Raw genomic sequence first — 24500 nt, 5'->3', positions numbered from 1 at the left:
ACCCAAAGACAGGCAAGCAATTTTTATTTGTCCTGCCAGGCTGTTCCTTGACAGGCAGAGGAGGCAGCCTTGCTTACAGACTGCAGCAGGGCTTTACAGGGCGAGGAACTGGGTCGGGGTGTGTGAACCGAGTTGGGGGTGCAGGTGTCTTGACTGCATCCTGGTGATGTTTTTGCCAGCTTTGGTTAGCAGGTGTTCTGACCGCATCCTGGAACTGTTTGCCAGTTCAGCTGAAGTCTTCTGGACAAACAGTTACTGGAAGGGTCAGTGCAGGGCGGCAGTGGGGGTTGCCTTTAGCCCTGGGGGAGCTGTGCGGAGGTCACAAAGGACTGTATTGTAAGACCTATGCGAAAGGAGGGGAACTGGTCGGGGTGACCCTAACACTCTGCACTGGTTATTCTTTCTCGAAGGCTCTTCTCCCAGGTATTTCCATGACTCCCTGCCTCATTCAGGTGTCTGCTCAGAATACCACCTCCTCAGAGAGGCCTTCCCTCACCTGTCCACCTGGACTTCTCTAACCCCTTACTCATTTTTTTTTTCATTGTGTTCATCACAACCTGACATATATCCAATTATTGATCATGCCCGTCTCCCCTGTTCAAACGCTGAGCTCCATGAATAAGGGCGGGAATCTTTCCTGTTGTGGCCACTGTGGGGGAAGGGATGAGGGGACTGGTCATCACAATGACTGGCAGTTACAAGGGTGGCGCCAGGGACTCCAGACAGCCCTGGAAGGAAGGCAGATTCTACATCCTGCACAACATAAGTGAAAGGCTTGTTTTTCATTACCAGAGCCAAGGCTCTAACTCCATTTTGCATATAAACACAAAGAGTGTATGCATTCTACTATACATTGAATTTTCCAGGAATGCAACTACTGTGTAAAGAGAAGGAAACGTGCACTTCATTGTGTTCAGAACTTTACCAAATTCATCGTTTCAGACGTTGACACCACCACACCCGAGCATCAGTCTGTACACAGAGCTGTGACCTCCCCAGCAACTGGGCACTTCACAAACACATTATCATTACCTTTTATTTCTTATATATTAATAAGGACAAAAAAACCATTGGATGATTTTTAATTAGATGTAAAGGCTGGCATATTAGCCATAAATTTCATTTCAGGAGCATAAAGGGAGCAACAGCAAGCATTATGAAAAGGCAGCTTTGGGTCTGAGGGGTGGAGAATGATGGCCTAGAGTTGCCCCATGGAAAGCGGTGGGGAGCATGGGCTCTGCAGTCCAGTCCAGGCCACTACTTGCAGCCATGTGACTCCACAGGCACTGCTTAACCTCGCTGAGCCTCACTTCCTTCTTGGCAAATGTGAGCCACGCTACAAACTGCACAGGGTTCCTGGGAAGACTGAAGGGCGGAGTGTGCATAGCATTTGGCAGAGTGCCAGGTGCCAGAAAGGGTACTCAATGTCCCTATTATTGTTTTCTTGTTGTTGCTGTTGTTTTGTTTGTTTTGAGACAGGGTCTTCCTCTGTCATCCAGGCTGGAGTACAGTGGCACGATCACGGCTCACCATAGCCTTGATCTCCTGGGCTCAAGCGATCCTCCCACCTTAGCCTCCTGAGTAGCAGGAACTATAGGTGTGTGCTACCGTGTCCAGCTAATTTTTGTAGTTTTCTGTAGAAATGGGGTTTCGCCATGTTGCCCAGGCTGGTCTCAAACTCCTGGACTTCAGTGATCTGCACACCTCGGCCTCCCAAAGTGCTGGGATTACAGACGTGAGCCACCACACTGGGCCTATGATTGTCCATTTAGCAAATTTTTGCCAGTACCCTCTTTCCAGCAGCTGTCCCAGGTGCTGGGGTCATGGGGACACTCAAAGGACTCAGGAGGCCCCCGGTGAGTCTCCCTCTTCCCTCCATCCAAGACCTATCCCCGTGGTAGGGTGAGGCCCATGTCAACGGCAGAATAGCCAGGGCAAGCCTTCAGTTTGGCCACTGGGGCCGGGAGCAGAGCTGTGCTTGGGTTTGCACTGGGTCCTGAATATGCCAGCACTCACAAGTCCCCTCCCATAGGCTCTGGATCTCTCGGCCCCCCAACCTTCCATCAAGGCCTGTCCTTCCTGTGTTTCATCTTAGCAGTACTCTCCGTGCTTTCCAAGGTGACAAATCTCTAGTCTCACAGGCAGATAGGAGGGCAGAGAAGCAGTCAACAAGCAGGCAGGTGAGCAGACAGCAGATAAGTCCTGGGCAGATAGGCAGCGAGGAGGTAGGGAGGAGATGGGCAGGTGGATAGTTGGGATGAGGGCCAGAACAGCAGGTGACACACGTGCAGAGATCCGAAGCGGGTGGCTGGGCTGACCCACGGACAGGCTGGTGGGCTGGGGAGCAGCAGGCAGTCAAGCAGCTAGGCAGGGGGTGGGGAGGGCATGTGGACCATGGGGACAGCCACATTGGCCAAAGGTTTCAGGGACCTTCCCCAGGGCCTCCAGGAGCAGTGCTTCTCAAAACCCTCCAGGGCAAGGCTGCCGCTTCTCCCACCTGGCCTGGCTTGGCCACGGCAAGCCCCTGGAGAAGACAGCACTCTGGTTAATGTGCGTCCCTCTCTCTGAAGCAACCAGCAACCATCATCTCAACCCTCATCCTGCTCCACTAGGGCTGAGTCATACCTGACCCACTCCAAACACATATGTCACATACCAACCCAGACACAAACATACTTTTGCCTGCAGGCAGAGATACAGAGAGCTGCGTAGCACAGAGGTGCATGGAAACAGCTTGACAGAAACAGATCCAAAATTTTAGACTGCACATAGAGGAGCACACATGTGGACTCTCACAGACACAGGTCTGTGCCACATGAACTGAGGCACTGAGGCACACAACACACGTAGTCATACAAGCACACTGTAGCACACACCGATATTCCCGTGGATGGCAGGCATTAAACATGCTCATGCACTCCCAGCAATGCTGCACATAAATAAGCTACCTGTGCAAACAGTCACTGACATACACCCCTTGAAGAAACAGGAATACAACCCACAGAAACTCAATATTGCTGATGGTCTTCAAATCTCGGCCAAGGCAGTGGGCAAATTCTGGCCTCATCTTCACCTCTCAGCCCAATCACACATGGCTGATCACATCCCTGTTCTGGCCTGGTTCTCCTTGCTGACTTCACCTCCAGGAGACCCCTCAATGGGCTCGAGCTTCAGACCCTTCTCTCTCTGCCCCCTTACCCCAGATGTTCGGTCTCATCCACTTCTGGGGTGGTAAATCCATCTTATGTGGTAAGGACTCTCAAATATCATTTTCAGCCAGATTCCTGGGGGTTCTACTTGCATTGCCAACACCTGCACCTGGATATCTAATGGACATTTCAAGTCTAACCTATCTACAGTGAAACTGACTACCCCCAAACCTGCTTCCCCACATGGGCTTTCCTCAGGTGCCCCAGCCCAGTATGAAAGTGTTCTAAACTCCTCTCTCCCTCACATTCAAGTCCAGTGCAGGAACTCCCTTCAGAACACCACCTGAGTCTGAGCCCTCTCGCCTCTCCACCGGCCCCGCCCTCACTGGCTTGGACAGCTGCCAGCCTACTCACCACCCTCCCTGCTCCCCTTCTTGCCCACAGTGGCCCACCCTACACTGAGCCACCACAGGGATCTTTCCAAAATGTGTCACAGGGCCATGACACTCCCCTGCTCAACGCTCCAGGAGCTCCCCACCACACTTACATTAAAAACCAAGCTCCTGGCCGGGCACGGTGGCTCACACCTGTAATTCCAGCACTTTGGAGGCCAAGGTGGGCAGATCACCTGAGGTCAGAAGTTCGAGACCAGCCTGACCAACATGGAGAAACCCCATCTCTACTAAAAATACAAAATTAGCAGGGTGTGGTTGTGCATGCCTGTAATCCCAGCTACTCGGGAGGCTGAGGCAGGAGAATCACTCGAATCCGGGAGACAGAGGTTGCAGTGAGCAGAGATCGCGCCTTTGTACTCCAGCCTGGGCAACAAGAGTGAAACTCCGTCTCAAAAAAAAAAAAAAGAAAGAAAGAAAGAAAAAGCTCATCAACAAGGCCATCGAGTCCCTGCACGGGCAGCCCCTGCCACTCTCCCCTGCACCCACACACCATCTGCGTGGCTTTCTTCCCTTGGAGGGAGGTATCCCAAGCATGTTCTTACTCCTGCCCAGACACTCTCCCCAGATCCTGGCACAGCTGCCTCCTCCTTAGGATTCAGGTCTCACTGTGGATGTCCCTGTGAGAGCCACTCCCAGGTGTTGTCCATCGCATTACCCTATCCTGTCATGCCCCCCAGCACTTAGAAGCATCTGAGATTATCTTCTATTGTTTCTCCAATTTAGTGTCAGCTCCATGAGGGCAAGGATTTGTGTCTGTTCTGTTTATTGTTAAATCCCCATTAAAACTATTCCTCAGGGCTGGGCGCGGTGGCTCACGCCCGTAATCCCTGCACTTTGGGAGGTCAAGGCAGGTGGATCACGAGGTCAGCAGATCGAGACCATCCTGGCTAACATGGTGAAACCCGGTCTCTACTAAAAATACAAAAAATTAGCCAGGCGTGGTGGCAGGCGCCTGTAGTCCCAGCTACTTGGGAAGCTGAGGCAGGAGAATGGCATGAACCTGGGAGGCAGAGCTTGCAGTGAGCCGAGATCGCGCCACTGCACTCCAGCCTGGGTGACAGAGCGAGACTCCGTCTCAAAAACAAAAACAAACAACAAAAAAAAAACTGTCCCTCAGTATTCTCAGGGGATTGGCTCCATGACCTCCCTCCCATAGACACCAAAATCCAAGGATCCTCAAGTCCTTGATGTAAAATAAATTGGTTCAGTATTTGCATTTAACCTATACACATCCTCCTGTATACTTTAAATCATCTCTTGATTACTTATAATATCTAATATAATGTAACCGCTATGAAAATACACTATTGGCCGGCATGATGGCTCACACTTGTAATCCCAGCACTTTGGGAGGCTGAGGTGGGTGGATCACTTGAGCCCAGGAGTTCAAGACCAGCCTGGGCAACATGGCAAAACCCCATCTCTACAAAAATTAGCCAGGCATGGTGGTGCACGCCTGTGGTCCCTCCCAGCTACTTGGGAGAATGAGATGGGAGGCTCACTTGAGCCCAGGAGGTAAAGGTTGTGAATGAGCTGAGATAGCACCTCTGTACTCCAGCCTGGGTGACAGAGTGAGACCCTGTCTCAAAGAAAAAAAATTAAATATATCTATTGTTTAGGAAATAATGATAAGAAAAAAAGTCTGTACATGTTCAGCACAGATGCAATTTTGGTTTTGAATATTTTTGATGCAAAGTTGGTTAAACCCACAGATGCTGTGGACTAGACTAGGAAGTGCTAGGCATACACAGTATTTGTTGACTAGTGGCTGCACAGATTTATATACAGACATACCCGCCCCCACAACAATACTCAAATACATCACATTAATAGACAAATATACAGATGTGGGCAAAAATACCTGCCCGCACATTCACAGAACACACTAAACAGTCACAAAGACACCCAGGAGTCCCTTTTCCATCCCCATAGGAGTCAGTCCTAGTCCTCCCCCATCTAGATCTGCCCTCTACTTGAACCCAGTCTCGGGACTGGGGGAGTAGGGGTCTGCAGCCCGGACAGGGAGAGGGTCGCTGGCCCACAGGCCTCAGGCAGCGCCTTCAGCTATGTCTGCAATTTCCTCTCCCCCTTTCCTCCTCCTCTCTAAGGCTCCCGCCAAGGCGGCCTCCCCCTCATTCTAGCTCCAGCAAGGGAGGGGAGGTCCATGATGGGGGGGCCCCGTGGAGACAGGGCAGAAGGAAGCCCCCCGCCACACACACTGATCACACACCACATTGCATGCACAAGCCCAGGTGGGAAATGCGTGTGTGAGCACAGGCAGGTTTAGCCTTGGGGTGGGGGACGGGATGGGGTGGGATCTGCCACAAGCCGCCACAAGCTGCTTGGTGCACAAGAGCGCAGGAGCTCGCAGGCACAGAGGCCCCACGCTGGGGTCTGCGAGACTGCTGGCCGGGCCCTGGCTCAAAGCTGGAGTCCAACAATCATTAACCCTGCGTGACTAGACCAGAGCTCGGCCAGGGGACACATTCAAGCCTGGGCCCTGGAAGGAGGGGTGGACAGTCCCCTCCCTTCCAGTCCAGCATGGGTCTGGGGAAGAGAAGCAGCTTTGCCTGGAAGGGGCCTCCTAGGAGGGGGAGCGGTGGTTTCTAGCTCAGGCTTTAGGATCAGAGAGCAGCAGATTCAAATCCTGACGGTTTTGGTAAAGTCAATTCAATCTCTCCAAGACTCCGTTTATTTGATCTGCGAAGTGGGGATAATGGTATCACGTCGCAGGGTTGTCAGGCGGAGTAAGTGAAAGAACCTGTCCAAGGTTTAGCCCTTGGCCCGCACGCAGGCAGAGCTCCAGCCTCTCTGTTGTTGCTGTTAGTGGCCTGGGGGCGGGTCCCTGCCGCGGCCTCCCCGGCGGTTTCCTGTGGGGGACGGACGGCCCGCGGGCCGGGCTCTCCCTCCTCCCGGCTGCCCGCTCCTCTCCCCTTCCTCTCCCAGCCCTTTTCCTCCCCGCCTCCCCGCCCGCCCCGCCCCGCCCCGTCCCTCCTCTTTCCTCGGAGGAAACTTTCCGCCGGCTGGTCCCTCGGTCCGTGTCCCGCCCGTGCTGCCGCGGCCTGGGAGCCCAGCGGGGCCGGAGGGGCGGCGGGACCCGAGCGGGCGGGGGCGGCCGGACCCAGTGTATGCGGCCGCGGGACGCGCTGGGGCCGGGCAGCCGGGAAGCGGGGCGCTGACGGTGAGTGGGCCTGGCCCCGGGCCGGTGGGTCCCCGCGGGGCGGCCGGGCGAGGAGAGAGGCAGCTTCCCTTCCCGGAGCCCGCCTGGGGCGTGGAGGCTCAGCGTCCCTATCCTCCATCCCGCCCCGGGACGGCGGAACCGGGCCTCAGCTGGGGACCTCACCAGGGGGCGGGGCCTCCCGCGGTCCCCGGCGCTGCTCCCAGGACTGGAGGGGCGTCCGCGCCCGGGAGAGGGGTTCCCCCCGACAGGGCCCCGGGCCGCCACGAAGTTAGGGAAGCGCTCTCTCCAGGGTGGAACCTGGGCCCGCGGCTCCCGGGAGAGGAGCTGCCCGCGGAAGGGGTCGGGGTGGGCTCCAGGCTGGGAGAAGGATCTGACTTTGCTGACCTCGCAGGCTGGTAGGGGAGCTGCCCCCCAGAGCAGCATGGATGCCCCGCGAAGGGACATGGAGTTGCTCAGCAACAGCCTGGCTGCCTACGCGCACATCCGCGGTGAGGGCGGGCGCCGGAAGACTGGGGGCCTGAACCCTTCCCTGACCACCATCCCCTTCCCTCCCCAGCGCCTTGTCCGTCCCCTCCGCCCCGCTCCCCGCCCTCTTGCCCGCTGGCGGTTCCCTAATGCCCTTCGAGTAGGGGTTACAGGCCTCGCCCCCACACCTAGAACCTGGGGTCTTTCGGAAGTGGGACAACCCCCACCCGTCCGGGCCTCTCCGTGACCCCCGCCCTGTGCCCCGCAGCCAACCCCGAGAGCTTCGGCCTCTACTTCGTGCTGGGCGTCTGCTTCGGCCTGCTGCTCACCCTCTGCCTGCTCGTCATCAGCATCTCGTGGGCGCCCCGCCCGCGGCCCCGGGGCCCGGCTCAGCGCCGGGACCCCCGCAGCAGCACCCTGGAGCCCGAGGACGACGACGAGGACGAGGAGGACACGGTGACTCGGCTGGGCCCCGACGACACGCTGCCGGGCCCCGAGCTGTCCGCAGAGCCGGACGGGCCCCTCAACGTCAACGTCTTCACGTCGGCGGAGGAGCTGGAGCGGGCGCAGCGGCTGGAGGAGCGCGAACGGATCCTGCGGGAGATCTGGCGCACCGGGCAGCCGGACCTGCTGGGCACAGGCACGCTGGGGCCCAGCCCCACGGCCACGGGCACCCTGGGCCGCATGCACTATTACTGATGGGCCCCGGCTCCCGCTGCAAGGCGCTCGGGGTACCGGACCTGCACATGAGCTCAGAGCTACCCCACACCTTCGGACTGCCTCGGCCCCCACAGCTCCCAGGTGCTACTGGGCGTGGACCGCCACCCCCTGAGAGGCTCCCTTCCCCAGTCCTGCCAGAAGACCCCGGGGGCGGGGAGGGGGCAGCATGCAGGGTCCCCACTCCCTCTCTGGGGTCGATGAAGAGGTGAAGTGACCAAATGAAAGAAAGCTGCATTCTCAGTGACTCAGTCTCTCCCTCTGTTACTCCTGCCCCCAGCGACCCCCAGGCTCCTGCCACGCAGGGGCCCCAGGACTGAGGCCCAGCTTGACTCCCTTACCCTAGCTGCACCACCCCCACCCACCAACCCGACGATACAGCACACCTGCCCGCATTCACTTCACAGCCAGCAGAAAAGCAGAAGCCCACAGGCCTGCACCCAGCCTCACACACAGAGCAAGCGCGCGCGCATTCCTTATTCAAAACGCATTCCTTACCGGCAAACGCCTGGACACACGTCGCCCTGTCCCCACAGTGCCCTGGGTTCATACACTGCAATGACACACACACCAGGCCTCAGGACCCTGACCTCGAGGCTAAGGTGCTGCTAGCCCCGGTGTAAGCATGCGTGCTTGGGCTGGACGGTGGACTTCACGTCTGCGCCGAGGTGCGTTCAAGCGAGAGGGCAGGAGTCCCTCTGAGCGGACAGGGAGGCCAGCTGGGAGGGGTCCGAGCTGGCGAGAAGGCCCGCCCGGCTCCTCCCCGGCGCACAGCTGGATTCCGGAATCTAGGCCGGGCGTCAAGAGCCCGACCCCGCCTGGGCCCCTCCTGCCCGCCATTTCTCCAGTGCGCGGCTGGAGTCCGAAGGAGACACCCTCCCCCGCCCCTCACCATCCGGTGGATAAAAATAGCCGCGCGCAGGCCTTGGGAACGGTAATGGGAGCCACATGTTGGCCAGATGTGCCTGGGAGGGACCGTCAGGAATGCGGAGGCCCAGGCCCTGCCCCCGCGCAGGCCCCGCCCCCAGCGACCAGACCGGCGTGGCGCCGTGCTAGGCAGAGTTTACTTTCTCGCGTTTCCCAAAGTCGTGTGCAAGGACGTGGGTGGCCCCAGCCAGGTCAGGCCGCGGTCCCTTCCCAGGCCCACCCTCAGTAGGTCTGCGTCTGCGTGTGGATGACGCGCGGGGTCTGGGACTTCTGGGTCCCCTGCATCACCTGGACCTGGTCGGGAGTGAGGTGGAGACTTTGTCAGGGGGCCACTCGCCGTCAGCCCCCTCCCGCCGGGACCCGCGCCTCACCTCCAGCCGCCGGCGCTGCTCCTTCTCGCTCTTCAGCTCCTCCCAGATGTCGGTCAGCTTCCTCCTGCGGGCCGAGGCGGAGGTGAGGGGCTGGGCAGGTGAGGGCTGGAGGTGAGGGGCTGCGCAGGTGAGGGCTAGGGGGAACCCTACCTTCCACAACCCCCGCCACTGCCCACTCACTCCAGCTGCACCTCCATCAGCTCCAGCGCCCTCCTTAGAGACTCCACCTCGCCCCTCAGCGACGTTACATCAACTCCTTCATTCTTGTTTTCCGTGTAGTTTTGCGGGACCAGCGAGGGGAGCGCGAGCGTCTCTTGGGAGTCTGGAGGCGGCTTGATAGGACGTGTTTTTTGGGCAAAGGCTCTTTCTATGGGGGGCACCTCCTCTTTTGGAGCCACTTCCTCTTTAGGGGGCAATTCCTCTTTCAGGGTCACCTCCTCTTTGGAAGCCACTCCCTCTTTGGGGAGCACCTCCTCTCTCAGAGGCCTCTGCTCGTTGGGGGGCGCCTCCTCTTCAGGGGTCCTCTCGTCATTGGAAGGTGCCTCCTCTGGAAGGGTTGTAGCCTCTTCGTGGGGGTGGGGCTTCTCAAGGGCAGGCCTGGATGCTGGCCCAGACTTCAACTCAGCCTGGCGTGGGGAGCTGTCCCCTCTAACTAGGGTACATTTCATCTCTCCCAGGCACCTCTCTGAGGAAGGAGGCTGGGGTGGGGGTGCCTCTGGCGTGTGGGCCTCCTCCTGGGATGATGGATCCTCTTTGGCTACAAAGTACTTGACCTTCTGCAGGGCTTCCTCCGAAGAGAAGTGATGGAATTGAATGTCATCTCTGGTGGACACCTCTTCTTCAGAAAGCTCTGGGGTCAAGACCTTTTCTAGAGTGGGGGCCTCATCCCCCAGAGGGGCCATCTTTGGATTAGGGACTTTATCCATAGGTGGGGCTTCTAGGGCAGGGGACTCTTCCACTGAAAAGACCCTCTCTGGAGTGGAGGGTTTGTCCACAGTCAGGGTCTCCTCTGGGATGATGGAGTTCTCTGGGATAGAAGCCTTGTCCTCCGGAGTCACCATCTTCTCTGGGGTGGGGACTTTGTCAGGAGCTGGGATCTTCCCCGAGGTGGAGTTCCCTGGGATAGAGGCCTTGTCCCCTAGAGTGAGGGTCTTCTCTGGGGAGGGGACTTTGTCAGGAGCCGGGATCTTCTTGGAGCTGGGGGCGTTCTCTGGAGCTGGGGGCCTCTCTGGGGTGGCAGTCTTGTCCGGCATGGGGGTTCTCTTCACAGAGGGGGCCTTTACCGGGCTGCTGTGCTCTTCCTCCTGCCGTGATGGGAGGTGAAGTCTCAGCTGAGGTTGAGTCTGGTTCCCCTTGGCCTGGGAGACTTCACCCGTGCACACCACAGCTGGGAACCAGCCTCTGCCCAGCATCCCCACTCTCCCATGTCTCCCGCCCCTCACCTGACTGGACACAGAGCGTTGCTGGGGAGTCTGGGTTTTGGATCGCTTTCGGCCAGGGTGATACGAACCCCCACTTTGGAAGCCACCATTGGGGCCTAAGAGAGCAGAACCTCAGGGACCCAAGCCTACTCTGACCCTCAGTCTCTTCCCACCTCTGTCCCTCCGCACAGCCACCCCATCCCTGTCCTCCAGTCCTCCCCGCACTGGAGGAAGGCAGCCCTTGCCTGAGTCTCGGGAGGTGAGCTTCTGACTGTCCCTGCTGGGTGTCCGAGATGTCCTGGAACATATCTTCATCAGGCCCTCAGGGTGGGGCACAGGGAGGGGCGTTGCCTCCTACCCTCCTCCTTCCCCCAACCCCATCCTGCTCCTTACTTGGCTTTGCTGGGCCCAGTGGTGGCTGTTGCTAGCTTCTTGACTGTGGGGAGGGATGTTTTGGGCATCAACTTTTTTGGTTCCTTAATAGGAGCTGGGAAGAGAGGAGTGGAGCACTCATCCATCTGACAGTCGCTAGCCCTGTCTTGTGCTGTGTGCAGGGGACTATGGGCAGGAGGTTAATCTTGTTTGACTATGCGCCACTGCACCCGGCTAATTTTTGTATTATTATTATTATTATTATTATTATTATTATTATTATTATTTGAGATGGAGTCTTGCTTCTGTCGCCCAGTGGTGCGATCTCGGCTCACTGCAAGCTCTGCCTCCCTGGTTCACGCCATTCTTCTGCCTCAGCCTCCCGAATAGCTGAGACTACAGGTGCCCTCCACCACACCCGGCTAATTTCTTTTTGTATTTTTAGTAGAGATGGGGTTTCACCGTGTTAGCCATGATGGTCTCATCTCCTGATCTCGTGATCCACCTGCCTTGGCCTCCCAAAGTGCTGGGATTACAGGTGTGAGCCACTGCGCCCGGCCAATTTTTGTATTTTTAGTAGAGACGGGGTTTCACCATGTTGGCCAGGCTGGTCTCGAACTCCTGACCTCAAGTGACCCAGCCTGCCTCAGGCCTCCCAAAGTGCTGGCATTACAGGTGTGAGCCATCGCGCCCAGCCCACTCTCAGAATTCTTTATATTCTCTCTCATTTACTCTCTAAGAGATCTCACCCAGTCTTATGGGTTTAATTTTCATCAATAAGTCAATGACTCCCAAATTTTCATCTCTAGCTCCTTCCTCTCTGACTCCAGACTCATATCTGACTTCCCTCTCAATATTTACACTTGGAGAGCTGATGGGCATCACACTCTTAACATATCCCAAACCAATCTCTTGCTTCCCAAACCCATGCCCCTTGAACCTACCCCTTTCCCCACAGTCCCCATCTGGCTCATTTACCCACTTGTTTGGATGACAAATGACTCCTTTTATTTCCTTATGAGACACATCCAAACCATCAGCAAATCCTGTCCACACTACTGTCCAAATATTTCCTGAAGTCAATCACTTGTCACCACCTCCACCACTAAGTGCTCTAGATCAAGTCACCACCACCTTCACCTGGACATTCCAACAGCCTCCAACCTGGGATTTGGCTGTACCCATCCCACCTAGAGTGTGTTCTTCCCACAGCAGCCAGACTGAACTTGTGTTCTATTGGGGAAGCAGATATAAATACAAGGAGTAAAATACATAGTGTGTTAGAGAGTTATTAAGCGTGACTGACAAGACTAGGCAGAAGGGGCTAGGCGCGGTGGCCCACACCTGTAATCCCGGCACTTTGAGAGTCCAAGGTAGGCAGATCACTTGAGGTCAGGAGTTCAGGACCAGCCTGGTCAACATGGTGAAACCCCGTCTCTACTAAAAATACAAAAATTAGCCAGGCATGGTGGCGTGCGCCTGTAATCCCAGCTACTCCGGAGGCTGAGGCAGGAAAATCGCTTGAACCTGGGAGGGCAGAGGTTACAGTGAGCCAAGATCGCGCCACTGGACTCCAGCCTGGGCGACAAGAGTTAAACTCCGTCTCAAAAAAACAAAACAAAAAAACACTAGGCAGAGGAAGGAACCATTTTAAATGGGGTGGCCAGAGAAGGGCACACTAAGGTGACATCAGCATCACTTGAAGGCAGTTACACACAGTGACATTCAGATCCATAGAAAAACAGCCACTCTGGCATGTGCACAAGTGCTGATGTTAACTCCTACATATAATCACACGCAGATACGTATACAAATCCACAAATCTGACAGTGGTTGGGGGCATGGATCCCACAGCCAGACACCAGGCTCTGAATTTCAGCTCCACTCCTTGCTAGTTGTATGAGAACTTGCTAAGTGATCTATGCCTCAATGTCCTCATTCATAAAACATGGACAACTAACACACACCTTGTAGGGTGGTTGTGAGGTCTGAGTGACTTAATACATGCGAGGTGCTTAGAAGACTGTTTGGCAGCCAGATGGTCAAAGCTCAGTAAATGTTAACTTTGACTTCTTACATTCTTACAGTATGGCTGATTAGGTGCTCTGTAGGGTGCTCCCACTAGGAAGCAATTATATCCTGCTGAGGACACAATTTTGAGGCACCATTGGACTTAAAAGAGGTAAAGGAGGTCTACAAAAGAGAGGACTGGACTGGGTGCAGTGGCTCACACCTGTAATCCCAGCACTCCCAGTGGCTCACGCCTGTAATCCCAGTGCTTTCAGTCCCAGCTACGTGGGGGGCTGAGGCAGGAGAATCACTTGAACCTGGGAGGCGGAGATTGCAGTGAGCCAAATCACGCCATTGCACTCCAGCCTGGGTAACAAGAGCAAAACTCAGTCTCCAAAAAAAAAAAAAAAAAGAGAGAGAACTGAAGCCAGAAAGGCGGAGGGAGGGAGGGCAGCTCTGCTCTGTGGCTACTGAGCCTGGGCCCTGTGATGTGAAGCCAGGGCCTTGGGCTCTGCTCCCTCACCTCACCACAGGCCCCAAGCTCAGTACCACACAGCAGTGCTACCTTTCTTCAGGAGGACCGAAGCAGCTTCTGGTGGGTGGTGTTCTCTGGCTACTGGGAGAAGTAAAAGCAAATTCTCGGCCAGGCGCGGTGGCTCACGCCTGTAATCCCAACACTTTGGGAGACCGAGGCAAGTGGATCACCTGAGGTCAGGAGTTCGAGACCAGCCTGGCCAACATGGTGAAACCTCATCTCTACTAAAACTACAAAAATTAGCCAGGCGTGGTGGCGCGTGCCTGTAATCCCAGCTACTGGGGAGGCTGAAGCACGAGAATTGCTTGAACCCGGAAGGAGGAGGTTGCAGTGAGCTGAGATCGCATCATTGCACTCCAGCCTAGGCGACAGAGCGAGACTTCATCTCAAAACAAAACAAAACAAAACAAAAAATAAAAGCAAATTCTCGCTGGAAGAAGTCTTCTTCTACTAAGGCCTGCAAGAGTCCCACAGATTAAAATCCAGCTATCAGCTCATAAATAAAGGTCATAAAACACGCTAGAGGGCAGGTCACCAAGAATGGAGTCAGCAGACACAACACACAACAGATAGTGGAACTGTCAGGTAGAGAACACTGCATAGATACGTATAAAACATTTGAAGAAGTTCAGGATGTGCATGCAACAAAGGACAATCAGGAATAACCATGCAGGTTTGGAAAATTATCACACAGAAAATGGAATTACTAGAGATGAAAAATAGCATTCTTGAAAAAGAAATGCAACATAAATCCACTTATTTACATGTATATTGCTTATGTTACTGGTACAGGGTTACAGAGCAGAGTAAACAGAGCCAAAAGGCTAGAGAATTTGTAAACTAGAGGTGCAGTGAGACAAGGAATGAACAGCGTGACAGCAATGTTAGGAGGGAGGAATGACAGAAGCAGGATTTGGCTCTGGCTGAATGAGGTGGTGGACAAATCCTCTCTTCACAAGGCAACTATGAAGCTGGACAAAAATGATCCAACAGGCCGGGTGCAGTGGTTCACGCCTGTAATCCCAGCACTTTGGGAGGCCGAGGTGGGCGGATCACCTGAGGTCAGGAGTTCGAGACCAGCCTGGCCAACATGGTGAAACCCCCTCTCTACAAAAATAAAAAAATTAGCCGGGCATGATGTTGGGTGCCTGTAATCCCAGCTACTCAGAAGGCTAAGGCGGGAGAATCGCTTGAACCCAGGAGGCAGGGGTTGCAGTGAGCTGAGATCATGCCATTACACTCCAGCCTGGGAGACAGAGCGAGACTCCTTCCCCCCGCAAAAGAAAAAGAAAAATCCAACAACCATTTCAATGCTCTGGAAATTATCCAAAGGCATGAGATAATTTGCGAAGGATTTTTTTTTTTGAGACAGAGTCTCGCTCTGTCACCTAGGCTGGAGTGCAGTGGCGTGATCTTGGCTCACTACAACCTCCACCTCACAGGTTCAAGCGATTCTTGTGCCTCAGCCTCCCAGATAGTTGGGATGACAGGTGCCCGCCACCACGCCCTGCTAATTTTTGTATTTTTTGGTAGAGACAGGGTTTCGCCATGCTGGTCAGGCTGTTCTCAAACTCCTGACCTCAAGCAATCTGCCCGCCTCAGCCTCCCAAAGTGCTGGGATAATTTGCAGAGCATTTTGTATGCTTGATAATGTTCTTGCCTAGGGCCGTTTTCATCCCAGGCCCCTCAGCTTGGTCCACATGGATGTTCTGCAGGGTAGGGCAAACTGTGAGGATCAGCAGCTTAACTGGCTAAGTTGAAGGCAGCTCAATTTGGAGTGTAATCTTGGGATTTGACATTGGTTCAAAAGCACAGCCAACCAAAAAAATAGATAAATGGGACTTCATCAAAATTTAAAACTTTTGTACATCAAGGGACACCATCGAAGAAAGTGAAAAGACAACCTAAAGAATGAGAGAAAAACTTTGGGAGGCCGAGGTGGGTGGATCACAAGGTCAGGAGTTCAAGACCACCTGGGAAACATGGCAAAACCCCATCTCTACTAAAAATACAAAAAATTAGCCGGGTGTGGTGGCGCACGCCTGTCATCCTAGCTACTTGGGAGGCTGAGGCAGGAAAATCGCTTGAACCCAGGAGGCAGAGGTTACAGTGAGCTGAGATCATGCCACTGCACTCCAGCCTGGGTGACAGAGCAAGACTAAAAAAAAAAAAAAAAGAATGGGAGAAAATATTGCAAACCATATATATATATACGCATATATATGATTAGGGACTTTTATCTAGAATATATAGAGAACTCTTCCTCAATAGTAAAAAGACAAATAATCCAATTTTTTAAATGGGCAAAGGATCCAAACAGACATTTCTCCAAAAGAAATAAGCACATGAAAATATGCTCAGCATCGGGCCGGGCGCGGTGGCTCACGCTTGTAATCCCAGCACTTTGGGAGGCCAAAGCGGGTGAATCACGAGGTCAGGAGATCGAGACCATCCTGGCTAACACAGTGAAACCCCGTCTCTACTAAAAATACAAAAAATTAGCTGGGTGTGGTGGCGGGCGCCTGTAGTCCCAGCTACTCGGAGAGGCTGAGGCAGGAGAATGGCGTGAACCCGGGAGGCAGAGCTTGCAGTGAGCCAAGATCGCACCACTGCACTCCAGCCTGGGTGACAGAGCGAGACTCCGTCTCAAAAAAAAAAAAAAAAAAAAGAAAATATGTTCAGCATCATTAGCCATCAGAGAAATGCAAATCAAAGCCACAATGAGATACCACTTCATACCCACTAGGACAGTTGTCATTAAAAAGATAACAAAAACAGCTGAGTGAAGTGCCTCACAACTGTAATCCCAGTATTTTGGGAGGCCAAGGCAGGAGGATCACTTGAGCACAGGAGTTCAATATCAGCCTGGGCAACATAGCAAGACCTTTTCTTTACAATAAACTTAAAAACTAGCCAGGTGTGGTGGTGCACACCTATAGTCCTAGCTACTCGGGAGGCTGAAGTGGGAGGATCACTTGAGGTTTGAGGCTGCTGTGAGCTCCCATTGTGCCACCACACTCCAGCCTAGGCAACACAGCAAGACCCTGTCTCTCCAAAATAAAAGAGTATACTATGAACAACTTTATGCAAATAATTAGAAAACTTACATAAAATAGTTAAAAACACGTAACTCCACAATTGATTCAAGAATTTTACCCTGACTTTTCTTTAACTATTAAAGAAATTGAAGAAGTTGTTTAAAATAATCCCATAATGAAAAAAAATATGGCAAGATGAATTTACAGACAAGTTTTACCAGCTTGCAAGGAAAGATGATTCCCATCTTATTTATTTATTTATTTATTTATTTATTGTGAGACAGAGTCTCACTCTGTCACCCAGGCTGGAGTGCAGTGACGCGATCTCGGCTCACTGCAACCTCTGCCTCCTGGGTGAACAAGCAATTCTCCTGTCTCAGCTTCCCGAGTAGCTGGGACTACAGGCATGTGCCACCATGCCTGGCTAATTTTTTGTATTTTTAGTAGAGACGGGGTTTCACCGTGTTAGCCAAGATGGTCTCCGTCTCTTGACCCCATGATCCACCCGCCTCAGCCTCCCAAAGTGCTGGGATTACAGGCGTAAGCCACCAAGCCTGGCCCATTCCCATCTTATATAAGATCCACCAGATAGGCCAGGTGTGGTGGCTCACATCTGTAATCCCAGCACTTTGGGAGGCCAAGCCGGGCAGACCACAAAGTCAGGAGTTCGAGACCAGCCTGGCCAACATGGTGAAACCCTGTCTCTACTAAAAATACAAAAAAATTTAGCTGGATGTGGTGGTGCACACCTGTAGTCCCAGCTACTTGGGAGGCTGCAGCAGGAGAATTGCTTGAACCCGGGAGATGGAGGTTGCAGTGAGCTGAGATCGCGCCACTGCACTCCAACCTAGGTGACAGAATGCGACTCTGTCTCAAAAGACAGTAAAAAGAAGAAAAGGGAAAACTAGATTCAAAATCAGGAACATGACAATGATGTTCACCATCACTACTTCTATTTAATATTGTATGAGAGATCCTAATAACTACAATAAATTAACAAAATGAAATTAAAAGGCAGGAGTGAAGAGAATGACACAAAAATTATTATTCACAAATGATATGTCTGTCTTCACAGGAAACTTGTAAGAACCTACAAATGAATTGCTGGAAATAATCAGAGTTTAGCACCATGGCTGGCTATAAAAACAATATACAAAAATCAATGCATTTCTGTATTCCTGCAATAAACAGAAGAATGTCTATTTTTTAAAAGACACAATAAAAACTCTGAGATACCTAAGAATATCTGGGAATAAATCTTATGAAAATTATGGTCTTATGGCCGTGTGCGGTGGCTCACGCCTGTAATCCCAGCACTTTGGGAGGCCAAGGCGGACGGATCATGAGGTCAGGAGATCAAGACCATCCTGGCTAACATGGTGAAACCCGTCTCTACTAAAAATACAAAAAATTAGCCGGGCGTGGTAGCGGGCGTCTGTAGTCCCAGCAACTCGGGAGGCTGAGGCAGCAGAATGGCATGAACCCGGGAGGCGGAGCTTGCAGTGAGCCGAGATCTCACCACTGCACTCCAGCCTGAGTGACAAAGCAAGACTCTGTCTCAAAAAAAATTTAAAAAAAAAGAAAATTATAGTTTTATGTATAAAACTAAGCCAGGCACCGTGGCTGACACCTCTAATCCCAGCACTTTGGGAGGCCAAGACAGGAGAATTGCTTGAGCCCAGGAGTTCGAGACCAGCCTGGGCAACACAGTGAGACCCCATCTCTACAAAAAGATTAAAAGATTAGCTGCACATGGTGGCTTGTACCTGTAGTACCAGCTACAAGAGAGGCTGAGGTGAAAGAATCGCTTAAGCCCAGGAGGTTGAAGCTGCAATGAGCTACAATTGCCACTGTACTCTAACCAGGGCAACAAAGACCCAATGACCCTTTCTCAAAAAAAAAAGAAACCCCCCAAATTGTATAAAACTCACATGTAGAAAATAATAAATGATGCTGGAACAACTCATTGTCCATAGGGAAAAAGGTATAATTGTATCACTCATTAAAATCACTACTACATGAATAAAAGCACTAATATAAAAAGCAACATTTTAAAGGTTTTAGGCCGGGCACGATGGCTCATGCCTGTAATCCCAGCACTTTGGGAGGCCAAGGCGGGCGGATCGTGAGGTCAGGAGATTGAGACCATCCTGGCTAACACGGTGAAACCCCATCTCTACTAAAAATACAAAAAATTAGCTGGGCGTGATGGCAGGCGCCTGTAGTCCCAGCTACTCGGGAGGCTGAGGCAGGAGAATGGCGTGAACCCGGGAGGCAGAGCTTGCAGTGAGCCCAGATTGCGCCACTGCATTCCAGCCTGGGCGACAGTGCAGACTCCGTCTAAAAACAATCAAACAAACAAACAAACAATAACAACAAAAAACAGCAAATCTCAGCCAGGCACGGTGGCTCACGCTTGTAATCCTAGCACTTTGGGAGGCCAAGGCAAGCGGATTGCCTGAGCTCAGGAGTTCAAGACCAGCCTGGGCAACACAGTGAAACCCCGTTTCTACTAAAATACAAAATATTAGCCGGGCATGGTGGTGGGTGCCTGTAGTCCCAGCTACTTGGGAGGCAGAGGCAGGAGAATCGCTTGAACCTGGGAGGCAGAGGTTGCAGTGAGGGGAGACTGTGCCACTGCACTCCAGCCTGGGCAACAGAGAGAGACTCTGTCTCCATAAAAAAAAAAAAACAAACAAACCAAAAAAAACAGCAAGTCTCAGAAGACTATAAACATGCTACCATTTTTATGAAGCTCAAAAACAAAAATGAATTTAGTGATACAGTGTTTAGACACATACTTTTGTAAGAAAACTTAAAAACTTGGGGGAACCATAAACATAAAATTGAAGACAGTGGTTACCTTTGGGGTGAGGGAAGTGGTAGAATAGGAAAGAGGAGGAGGACACAAACAACAGGCAATGTTCTAGTCCTTAGGTTTAGGTGACATACCATGGGTGTTCGTGGGTGTTAATTTTTTTTTTTTTTTTGAGACAGAGTCTCACTCTCACCTACGCTGGCATACAGTGGCATGATCTCAGCTCACTGCAACCTCCCCCTCCCTGGTTCAAGTGATTCTCCTGCCTCAGCCTCCCAAATAGCTGGGATTACAGGCATGCCTACCACGCCTGGCTAATTTTTGTATTTTTATAGTAGAGACAAGGTTTTGCCATGTTGGCCAGGCTGGTCTTGAACTCCTAACCTCAGGTGATCCACTTGACTTGGCCTCCCAAAGTGCTGAGATTACAGGCATGAACCACTGTGCCTGGCCCGTGGGTGTTAAATTTTATAACATATGTGTTATATATACTTTTGACATGTATCAAATATTACATTAAAAGATAAATAAGGCTGGGCGCAGTGGCTCACGCTTGTAGTCCCAGCACTTTGGGAGGCTGAGGCGGGTGGATCACGAGGTCAGGAGATTGAGACCATCCTGGCTAACATGGTGAAACCCCGTCTCTATTAAAAATACAAAAAATTAGCTGAGCGTGGTGGCGGGCGCCTGTAGTCCCAGCTACTTGGGAGGCTGAGGCAGAAGAATGGTGTGAACCCAGGAGGTGGAGCTTGCAGTGAGCCGAGATTGAGCCACTGCACTCCAGTCTGGGCGACAGAGTGAGACTCCGTCTCAAAAAAATAAATAAAAAAAGATAAATAAAAAGACATCCCACAGACACACAGAGAGCTATTCACTGACACATAAGACACATGAACATACACAGTCTTATATATGAACAGACATATTCATATGTTTCCTTACAAAATGAAACAAATCTATACCCACCAATAGCCACATTCTCAAGACACACAGAGCAACACTGACATATTAACACACACACAAACTGACCCACACATTGATTCACGTACATTCCTACCCAGCTTTTGACCCACAGGTGAGGGGGCTCCTATAGGGGCATACTGGACCACTGGGGTGCTGTGGGTGTTTATAAGCAACTGGACTGGTGGGTCTCCCAGAGAACACCCCCCAATCCCAGGCTCCCCGGGCACTCACCTGATTCCCGAGATACCACTTTCCGTGGGACCAGCTTCTTGATCTATGCCGAAAAGAAGTAAAGGTTGAGCATCCTTAATCTAAAAATCAGAAATCCAAAATGCAGGCCAGGCGTGGTGGCTCACACCTATAATCCCAGCACTTTGGGAGTGGATCACTTGAGGACAGAAGTTCGAGACCAGCTTGGCCAACATGGCAAAATCCCGTCTCTACTAAAAATACAAAAATTAGCTGGATGTGGTGGCATGCACGTGTAATCCCAGCTACTCTGGAGGCTGAGGCAGGAGAGTCGCTTGAACCTGAGAGGGGGAGGTTGCAGTGAGTGGCGATCCTGCCGCTGCACTCTAGTCTGTGCAATAGAGCGAGACTCTGTCTTCAAGAAAAAAAAAAAAAAAATCTAAAATGCTCCAAAATCTGAAACTTTCTGAGTACCAACATAACGCCTTAAGTGGAAAATTCCACACCTGACCTAACTCATGTGACAGGTCTCAGTCAAAATTTGTTTCATGCACAAAATTATTAAAACTACTGCACAAAATCACCTTCAGGCTATGGCTTAAGGTGTATATGAAACATAAATGAATTTCGTGTTTAGGTTGGGGTCCCATTCCCAAGCTATCTTTTTTTTTTTTTCTTTTTGAGATAGAGTCTTGCTCTTGTTGCCTAGGCTGGAGTGCAATGGCACAATCTCGGCTCACTGCAACCTCCGCCTCCTGAGTAGCTGGGATTACACATGCATGCCACCACGCCCAGCTAATTTTTGTATTTTTAGTAAAGATGGGGTTTCACCATGTTGGCCAGGCTAGTCTTGAACTCCTGACTTTGTGATCCACCCGCCTCGGCCTCCCAAAAGTGCTGGGATTACAGGCGTGAGCCACCGTACCCGGCAGCTATCTCATGTATATGCAAAAATTCCCAAATCCGAAACACTTCTGGTCCCAAGCCTTTTGGATAAGCGATACTCAACCGGTATTAGAATCCAAAAGGAGCCCCCACATGTCTAGGTCCACCCTCATTTAGTGACCCTCCAGCTAGGTCCGGAGAGTGCCCATGATCCCCACCTTTGTCCAAAATAGCCTGCCCCTGCCACCTGAGTGTCTTGGCTCTGTACTCACTGGGGGTGGTGGGAGTACAAAGTTGTCTGGAAAAACTCCTCTTCGTCCTTGACACTCTCCTTCCCACCAGCCCTTATCCTCTGTGGTCTGGAAAAGAAACACGCCAGTGGGGAGGTGAGCCAGGTCCCCCAAGGTCCTTTCCGGGGTCCCACTCCTTCTTATGGATATAATTTCAACGTTTATTTTAGATTCAGGGGGTACATGTGCAGGTCTACCCTTTCTCAACACCGGCTTCCCTGGGCCCCCCCACCCTGTTCGTCTCACACCTTGCTGAGTACTTTTACCACGTCCCCCCTCCGCAGCGCCAACTCGTCTGGGGCCTCAGGCTGGTAGTCAAACAGGACCCTGTAGACCTCAGGGTGGGAGACTGGGAAGAGGTCAGTCCACTGTCCTCTGAAGCCAAGCCTCCCCCATCCATCAGCAGCCCCCACCTCCATCAGCCTAGCTGGCCCACCAAGTCACAACCTTGGGAGTGGCTGAGGGAGTGGGGGACCCTTTGGATGGGTGCTCACCTGTCTGCAGGTAGTCTGGAGGGCTGTCATAGGCCAGGCTGCTCAGCTAGTGGGGGAAGGGGCAGGGAGGAACTAGATGAGCCTCCAACCACCCCAAGAGGAACTCACCACCTCTGTGCCTACTCTGAGCCAACTTACCTTGGGAGGCCGCTGGGGACCAGGGCTGACTGAAGGCATGTCTGGGTTACCAAGGCCTAGTGGGGGACAGTGAGGTTAGGGAGGGTGCTAATTCACAGGTTAGGTCATGGGAGAGGGTCAGAGGGGTCACAGGGTCAGGATATGTGAATCACAGGCTCATGCCACTGGGAGGGTCATTGGAGATTGCGAGTCACAGGGTCACAGAGTCGAGGTCTCACTTGGGGGCCCACTGTCCAGCAATTCCACAAAGTTGGATGGGAAGGCTCCCAGCTGCCCGTTCTTCTTCCCCAGCCACCAGCCGTCCTCAATCTGGGGAGAGGGGAGGACGCAGAGGCGTCTGGTTCTGCCCCAAGAGTCCCTAGGATAATCTGCCACCCTTGGTTCTGCCCAAGCGCCCCTTCCTCCCTCCTTCCCTCCCGCGCTTCCCCGTATCTGCACCGTCGCCATTCCCACCGTCCACACCCTCACTTCCCACCCCGCTCACTAGGGAGGCGCGTTCCATCATCCTCCCCCAAACGGTCCCATCACCTCACCCCTCACCTCCTTTATCATTTCCACGATCTCCCCAGCTTGCAGCTTCAGCTCGTCCGCCTGCTCTGGGCTGTAGCTGAAGTTCACTTTGCACCATCTTTGGGGCCTCGGGTGTTTGGCAGGATGACCTAGCACCGGACAAGCGCGGCTGAGCTCCAGTCGGACGCCCCAGTCAGAGGAGCTGGGGGAAGCGCAAGGCGCGCACGTAGCCTTTGGTCCCTCCAGCCCCGCCCCAGGGCGGAGCATTGCACTCGAGAACCAATCACAGACCGCAGGGCGGCCCCGAGGTCCCGCCCAGAGCCGCGCCCGTCACTAAGAGCCGGAGACGCCGGGGTCGCACTGGCTCCGTGCACCCGCCCACCGGCGCCCGTCCCCGCCCTTGCGCTCACCTCGGCGGCGCGCACAGCGCGGCCTCCGCGCCTCTCCGGAGCCCCGCAGGGTCTCTGGGATCTCCTGGGAATCAGGGCACGGGGAAGGCGCTCTCAGCTCCCGGGGGGCGCGCGCTGAGACCCCACAGCCCGCCCCTGGCTCGGCCTCACCTGCACCAGGCGCTCGGGGAAGAGGCCATAGCGGCCCCCAAACTCTCCGCGAAGCCAGCCCCGCGCGGGCACCCAGCGCACCTGCCGGACCACGTCCCCGGGCGCCAGACTCAGCTCGTCCTCCTTCTGCGCGCGGTATCCGGCCAGGACGAGGACTTCTGCGGGCGGAAGACGGGGCCGGCGTGCGGCTCAGAAAGGCCCAGCCGGGCAGCCTGGCTAGGGCGGGCGTGTCCCCAAGCACCGTAGAGGGCAGCGGGGGTCGGGGGGTGGTGTGGGCTCTTGCTATGTCCACGGTTGCAGAGAGAGGCCACCTCAAAGCCTCCGCACTTACCCATGGTTTCCGGGGCGCCCTCCAGAGCCTGGCAGCTCCCTCTGACGGCCGAGTACTGGGCCCGCGCAGGGTGCGACCTGAGGCAAGACAGTAGGGTAAAGGAGGCGTAGCCGCCAGCCGATAGGTCGGGCCAGGTGCTGGGAGTGGGTGTGGAGAGGGGGCGGCCCGGCTCAGCAGGTCCGGCCCCCAACCCCGGGGTGAGGAGGACTCCAGGGTCTCTGGCCTGTGCAGCGGTCACAGCTCCGTCACAGGTTCTTCCGCCCACCTAAATTTTAGGCCAGCCGCCTCTCCCTTTCCCTCAGCTTTTGCCCGGAGGCTCCCAGCTACAATTTGCACAGAGCCTTTCCAGGCCCACCCTTCCCCAGCTCACAAGCTTTTGGCTTGAGGGGAAAAGGTGGGGAGAGGCACATACCAGGGTGGGGCCCCCCAGCAAGTAGCAACCGCTCTAAACCGGCCTTGAGTGAATGAAGTGGCTGCCCTTGTACCAGCAATAGCTTTGAGTGGACACTTCCAGTCTGCTTTCCTTCAAGGCGTACTCCTCTCTGGCCCCGTACCCACTCTCTACCCCCATATAGGAAGGACACAGCAAAGACCCCTGCTTTGGGGCCAGAGGTCTAGTTTGGTTTCAGAAAACACCTCCAGGTTTTCCCTGGGAGTTAGGCCGGGAGAATGAATTTTACC

General features: G+C 53.6%; 2 protein-coding genes across 16 annotated transcripts, besides 11 other annotated features; one reads left to right on the top strand and one right to left on the bottom strand.

Annotated features, from left to right (window-relative positions):
- Positions 1–7: 7 nt before the first annotated feature.
- On the bottom strand, positions 8–23876 carry SH3D21 (SH3 domain containing 21). 13 transcript variants are annotated; one of them, XM_017002340.2, is made up of 18 exons: positions 23820–23876; positions 23489–23646; positions 23339–23402; positions 22959–23077; positions 22637–22727; positions 22419–22474; positions 22281–22326; positions 22035–22135; positions 21769–21855; positions 20654–20696; positions 11080–11173; positions 10932–10984; positions 10708–10802; positions 9446–10569; positions 9266–9329; positions 9183–9188; positions 8466–8520; positions 8–2524 (listed from the first exon to the last, which is right to left on the bottom strand). In XM_017002340.2, the coding sequence occupies exons 1-18, from the start codon at positions 23821–23823 to the stop codon at positions 2364–2366; spliced, it is 2421 nt and encodes an 806-aa protein (XP_016857829.1). In that variant the 5' UTR covers positions 23824–23876; the 3' UTR covers positions 8–2363. The 13 variants fall into 13 exon arrangements, 12 of the variants coding, with proteins under 12 accessions (XP_016857829.1, XP_016857833.1, XP_016857830.1 ...); XM_017002344.2 differs by having other exon boundaries at positions 9457–10569; XM_017002341.2 differs by lacking the exon at positions 9183–9188.
- EVA1B (eva-1 homolog B) lies at positions 6090–8214 on the top strand. Of its 3 annotated transcripts, none has more exons than NM_018166.3 (3): positions 6090–6351; positions 7177–7273; positions 7519–8214. In NM_018166.3, exons 2-3 carry the CDS (start codon positions 7207–7209, stop codon positions 7947–7949), a joined length of 498 nt encoding a protein of 165 aa, NP_060636.1. In that variant the 5' UTR covers positions 6090–6351; positions 7177–7206; the 3' UTR covers positions 7950–8214. The 3 variants fall into 3 exon arrangements, 2 of the variants coding, with proteins under 2 accessions (NP_060636.1, NP_001291691.1); NM_001304762.2 differs by lacking the exon at positions 6090–6351 and adding an exon at positions 6599–6785; NR_130899.2 differs by lacking the exons at positions 6090–6351; positions 7177–7273 and adding an exon at positions 6599–6785.
- Positions 6332–6561: a silencer, noted in NCBI's record as "silent region_665". NCBI's record gives its function as "represses an Ori minimal core promoter by ATAC-STARR-seq in GM12878 lymphoblastoid cells {active_cell/tissue: GM12878}" and the evidence as "EXISTENCE:reporter gene assay evidence [ECO:0000049][PMID:35858748]".
- Positions 6332–7401: a biological region, named in NCBI's record as "H3K27ac-H3K4me1 hESC enhancer GRCh37_chr1:36788515-36789399".
- Positions 6446–7330: an enhancer, noted in NCBI's record as "H3K27ac-H3K4me1 hESC enhancer chr1:36788515-36789399 (GRCh37/hg19 assembly coordinates)". NCBI's record gives its function as "activates a minimal SCP1, AML or CMV promoter by ChIP-STARR-seq in naive H9 embryonic stem cells {active_cell/tissue: H9 hESC(naive)}" and the evidence as "EXISTENCE:reporter gene assay evidence [ECO:0000049][PMID:30033119]".
- Positions 6652–7011: a silencer, noted in NCBI's record as "silent region_664". NCBI's record gives its function as "represses an Ori minimal core promoter by ATAC-STARR-seq in GM12878 lymphoblastoid cells {active_cell/tissue: GM12878}" and the evidence as "EXISTENCE:reporter gene assay evidence [ECO:0000049][PMID:35858748]".
- Positions 7072–7121: a silencer, noted in NCBI's record as "silent region_663". NCBI's record gives its function as "represses an Ori minimal core promoter by ATAC-STARR-seq in GM12878 lymphoblastoid cells {active_cell/tissue: GM12878}" and the evidence as "EXISTENCE:reporter gene assay evidence [ECO:0000049][PMID:35858748]".
- Positions 7212–7401: a silencer, noted in NCBI's record as "silent region_662". NCBI's record gives its function as "represses an Ori minimal core promoter by ATAC-STARR-seq in GM12878 lymphoblastoid cells {active_cell/tissue: GM12878}" and the evidence as "EXISTENCE:reporter gene assay evidence [ECO:0000049][PMID:35858748]".
- Positions 8217–9101: an enhancer, noted in NCBI's record as "H3K27ac-H3K4me1 hESC enhancer chr1:36786744-36787628 (GRCh37/hg19 assembly coordinates)". NCBI's record gives its function as "activates a minimal SCP1, AML or CMV promoter by ChIP-STARR-seq in primed H9 embryonic stem cells {active_cell/tissue: H9 hESC(primed)}" and the evidence as "EXISTENCE:reporter gene assay evidence [ECO:0000049][PMID:30033119]".
- Positions 22828–23628: an enhancer, noted in NCBI's record as "H3K27ac-H3K4me1 hESC enhancer chr1:36772217-36773017 (GRCh37/hg19 assembly coordinates)". NCBI's record gives its function as "activates a minimal SCP1, AML or CMV promoter by ChIP-STARR-seq in naive and primed H9 embryonic stem cells {active_cell/tissue: H9 hESC(naive and primed)}" and the evidence as "EXISTENCE:reporter gene assay evidence [ECO:0000049][PMID:30033119]".
- Positions 22976–23025: an enhancer, noted in NCBI's record as "active region_750". NCBI's record gives its function as "activates an Ori minimal core promoter by ATAC-STARR-seq in GM12878 lymphoblastoid cells {active_cell/tissue: GM12878}" and the evidence as "EXISTENCE:reporter gene assay evidence [ECO:0000049][PMID:35858748]".
- Positions 23126–23565: a silencer, noted in NCBI's record as "silent region_661". NCBI's record gives its function as "represses an Ori minimal core promoter by ATAC-STARR-seq in GM12878 lymphoblastoid cells {active_cell/tissue: GM12878}" and the evidence as "EXISTENCE:reporter gene assay evidence [ECO:0000049][PMID:35858748]".
- Positions 23786–23835: a silencer, noted in NCBI's record as "silent region_660". NCBI's record gives its function as "represses an Ori minimal core promoter by ATAC-STARR-seq in GM12878 lymphoblastoid cells {active_cell/tissue: GM12878}" and the evidence as "EXISTENCE:reporter gene assay evidence [ECO:0000049][PMID:35858748]".

This window comes from Homo sapiens, chromosome 1 (assembly GCF_000001405.40).
Source record: "Homo sapiens chromosome 1, GRCh38.p14 Primary Assembly".
NCBI classification, from domain to species: domain Eukaryota; kingdom Metazoa; phylum Chordata; class Mammalia; order Primates; family Hominidae; genus Homo; species Homo sapiens.
Note: the sequence above shows the minus strand (reverse complement) of the source record. Positions and strands in the feature narration are given on the sequence as shown.

Excerpts from the sequence above, each read along its gene's own strand:
- EVA1B (NM_018166.3), top strand. The coding sequence starts at position 7,207 with ATGGATGCCCCGCGAAGGGACATGGAGTTGCTCAGCAACAGCCTGGCT. Across the intron at positions 7,274-7,518 it reads TGCCTACGCGCACATCCGCG|CCAACCCCGAGAGCTTCGGC; the intron begins GTGAGGGCGGGC and ends TGTGCCCCGCAG.
- SH3D21 (XM_017002340.2), bottom strand. Across the intron at positions 22,136-22,280 it reads TCCAGACTACCTGCAGACAG|TCTCCCACCCTGAGGTCTAC; the intron begins GTGAGCACCCAT and ends ACCTCTTCCCAG. Across the intron at positions 20,697-21,768 it reads TTGTACTCCCACCACCCCCA|ATCAAGAAGCTGGTCCCACG; the intron begins GTGAGTACAGAG and ends TTTTCGGCATAG.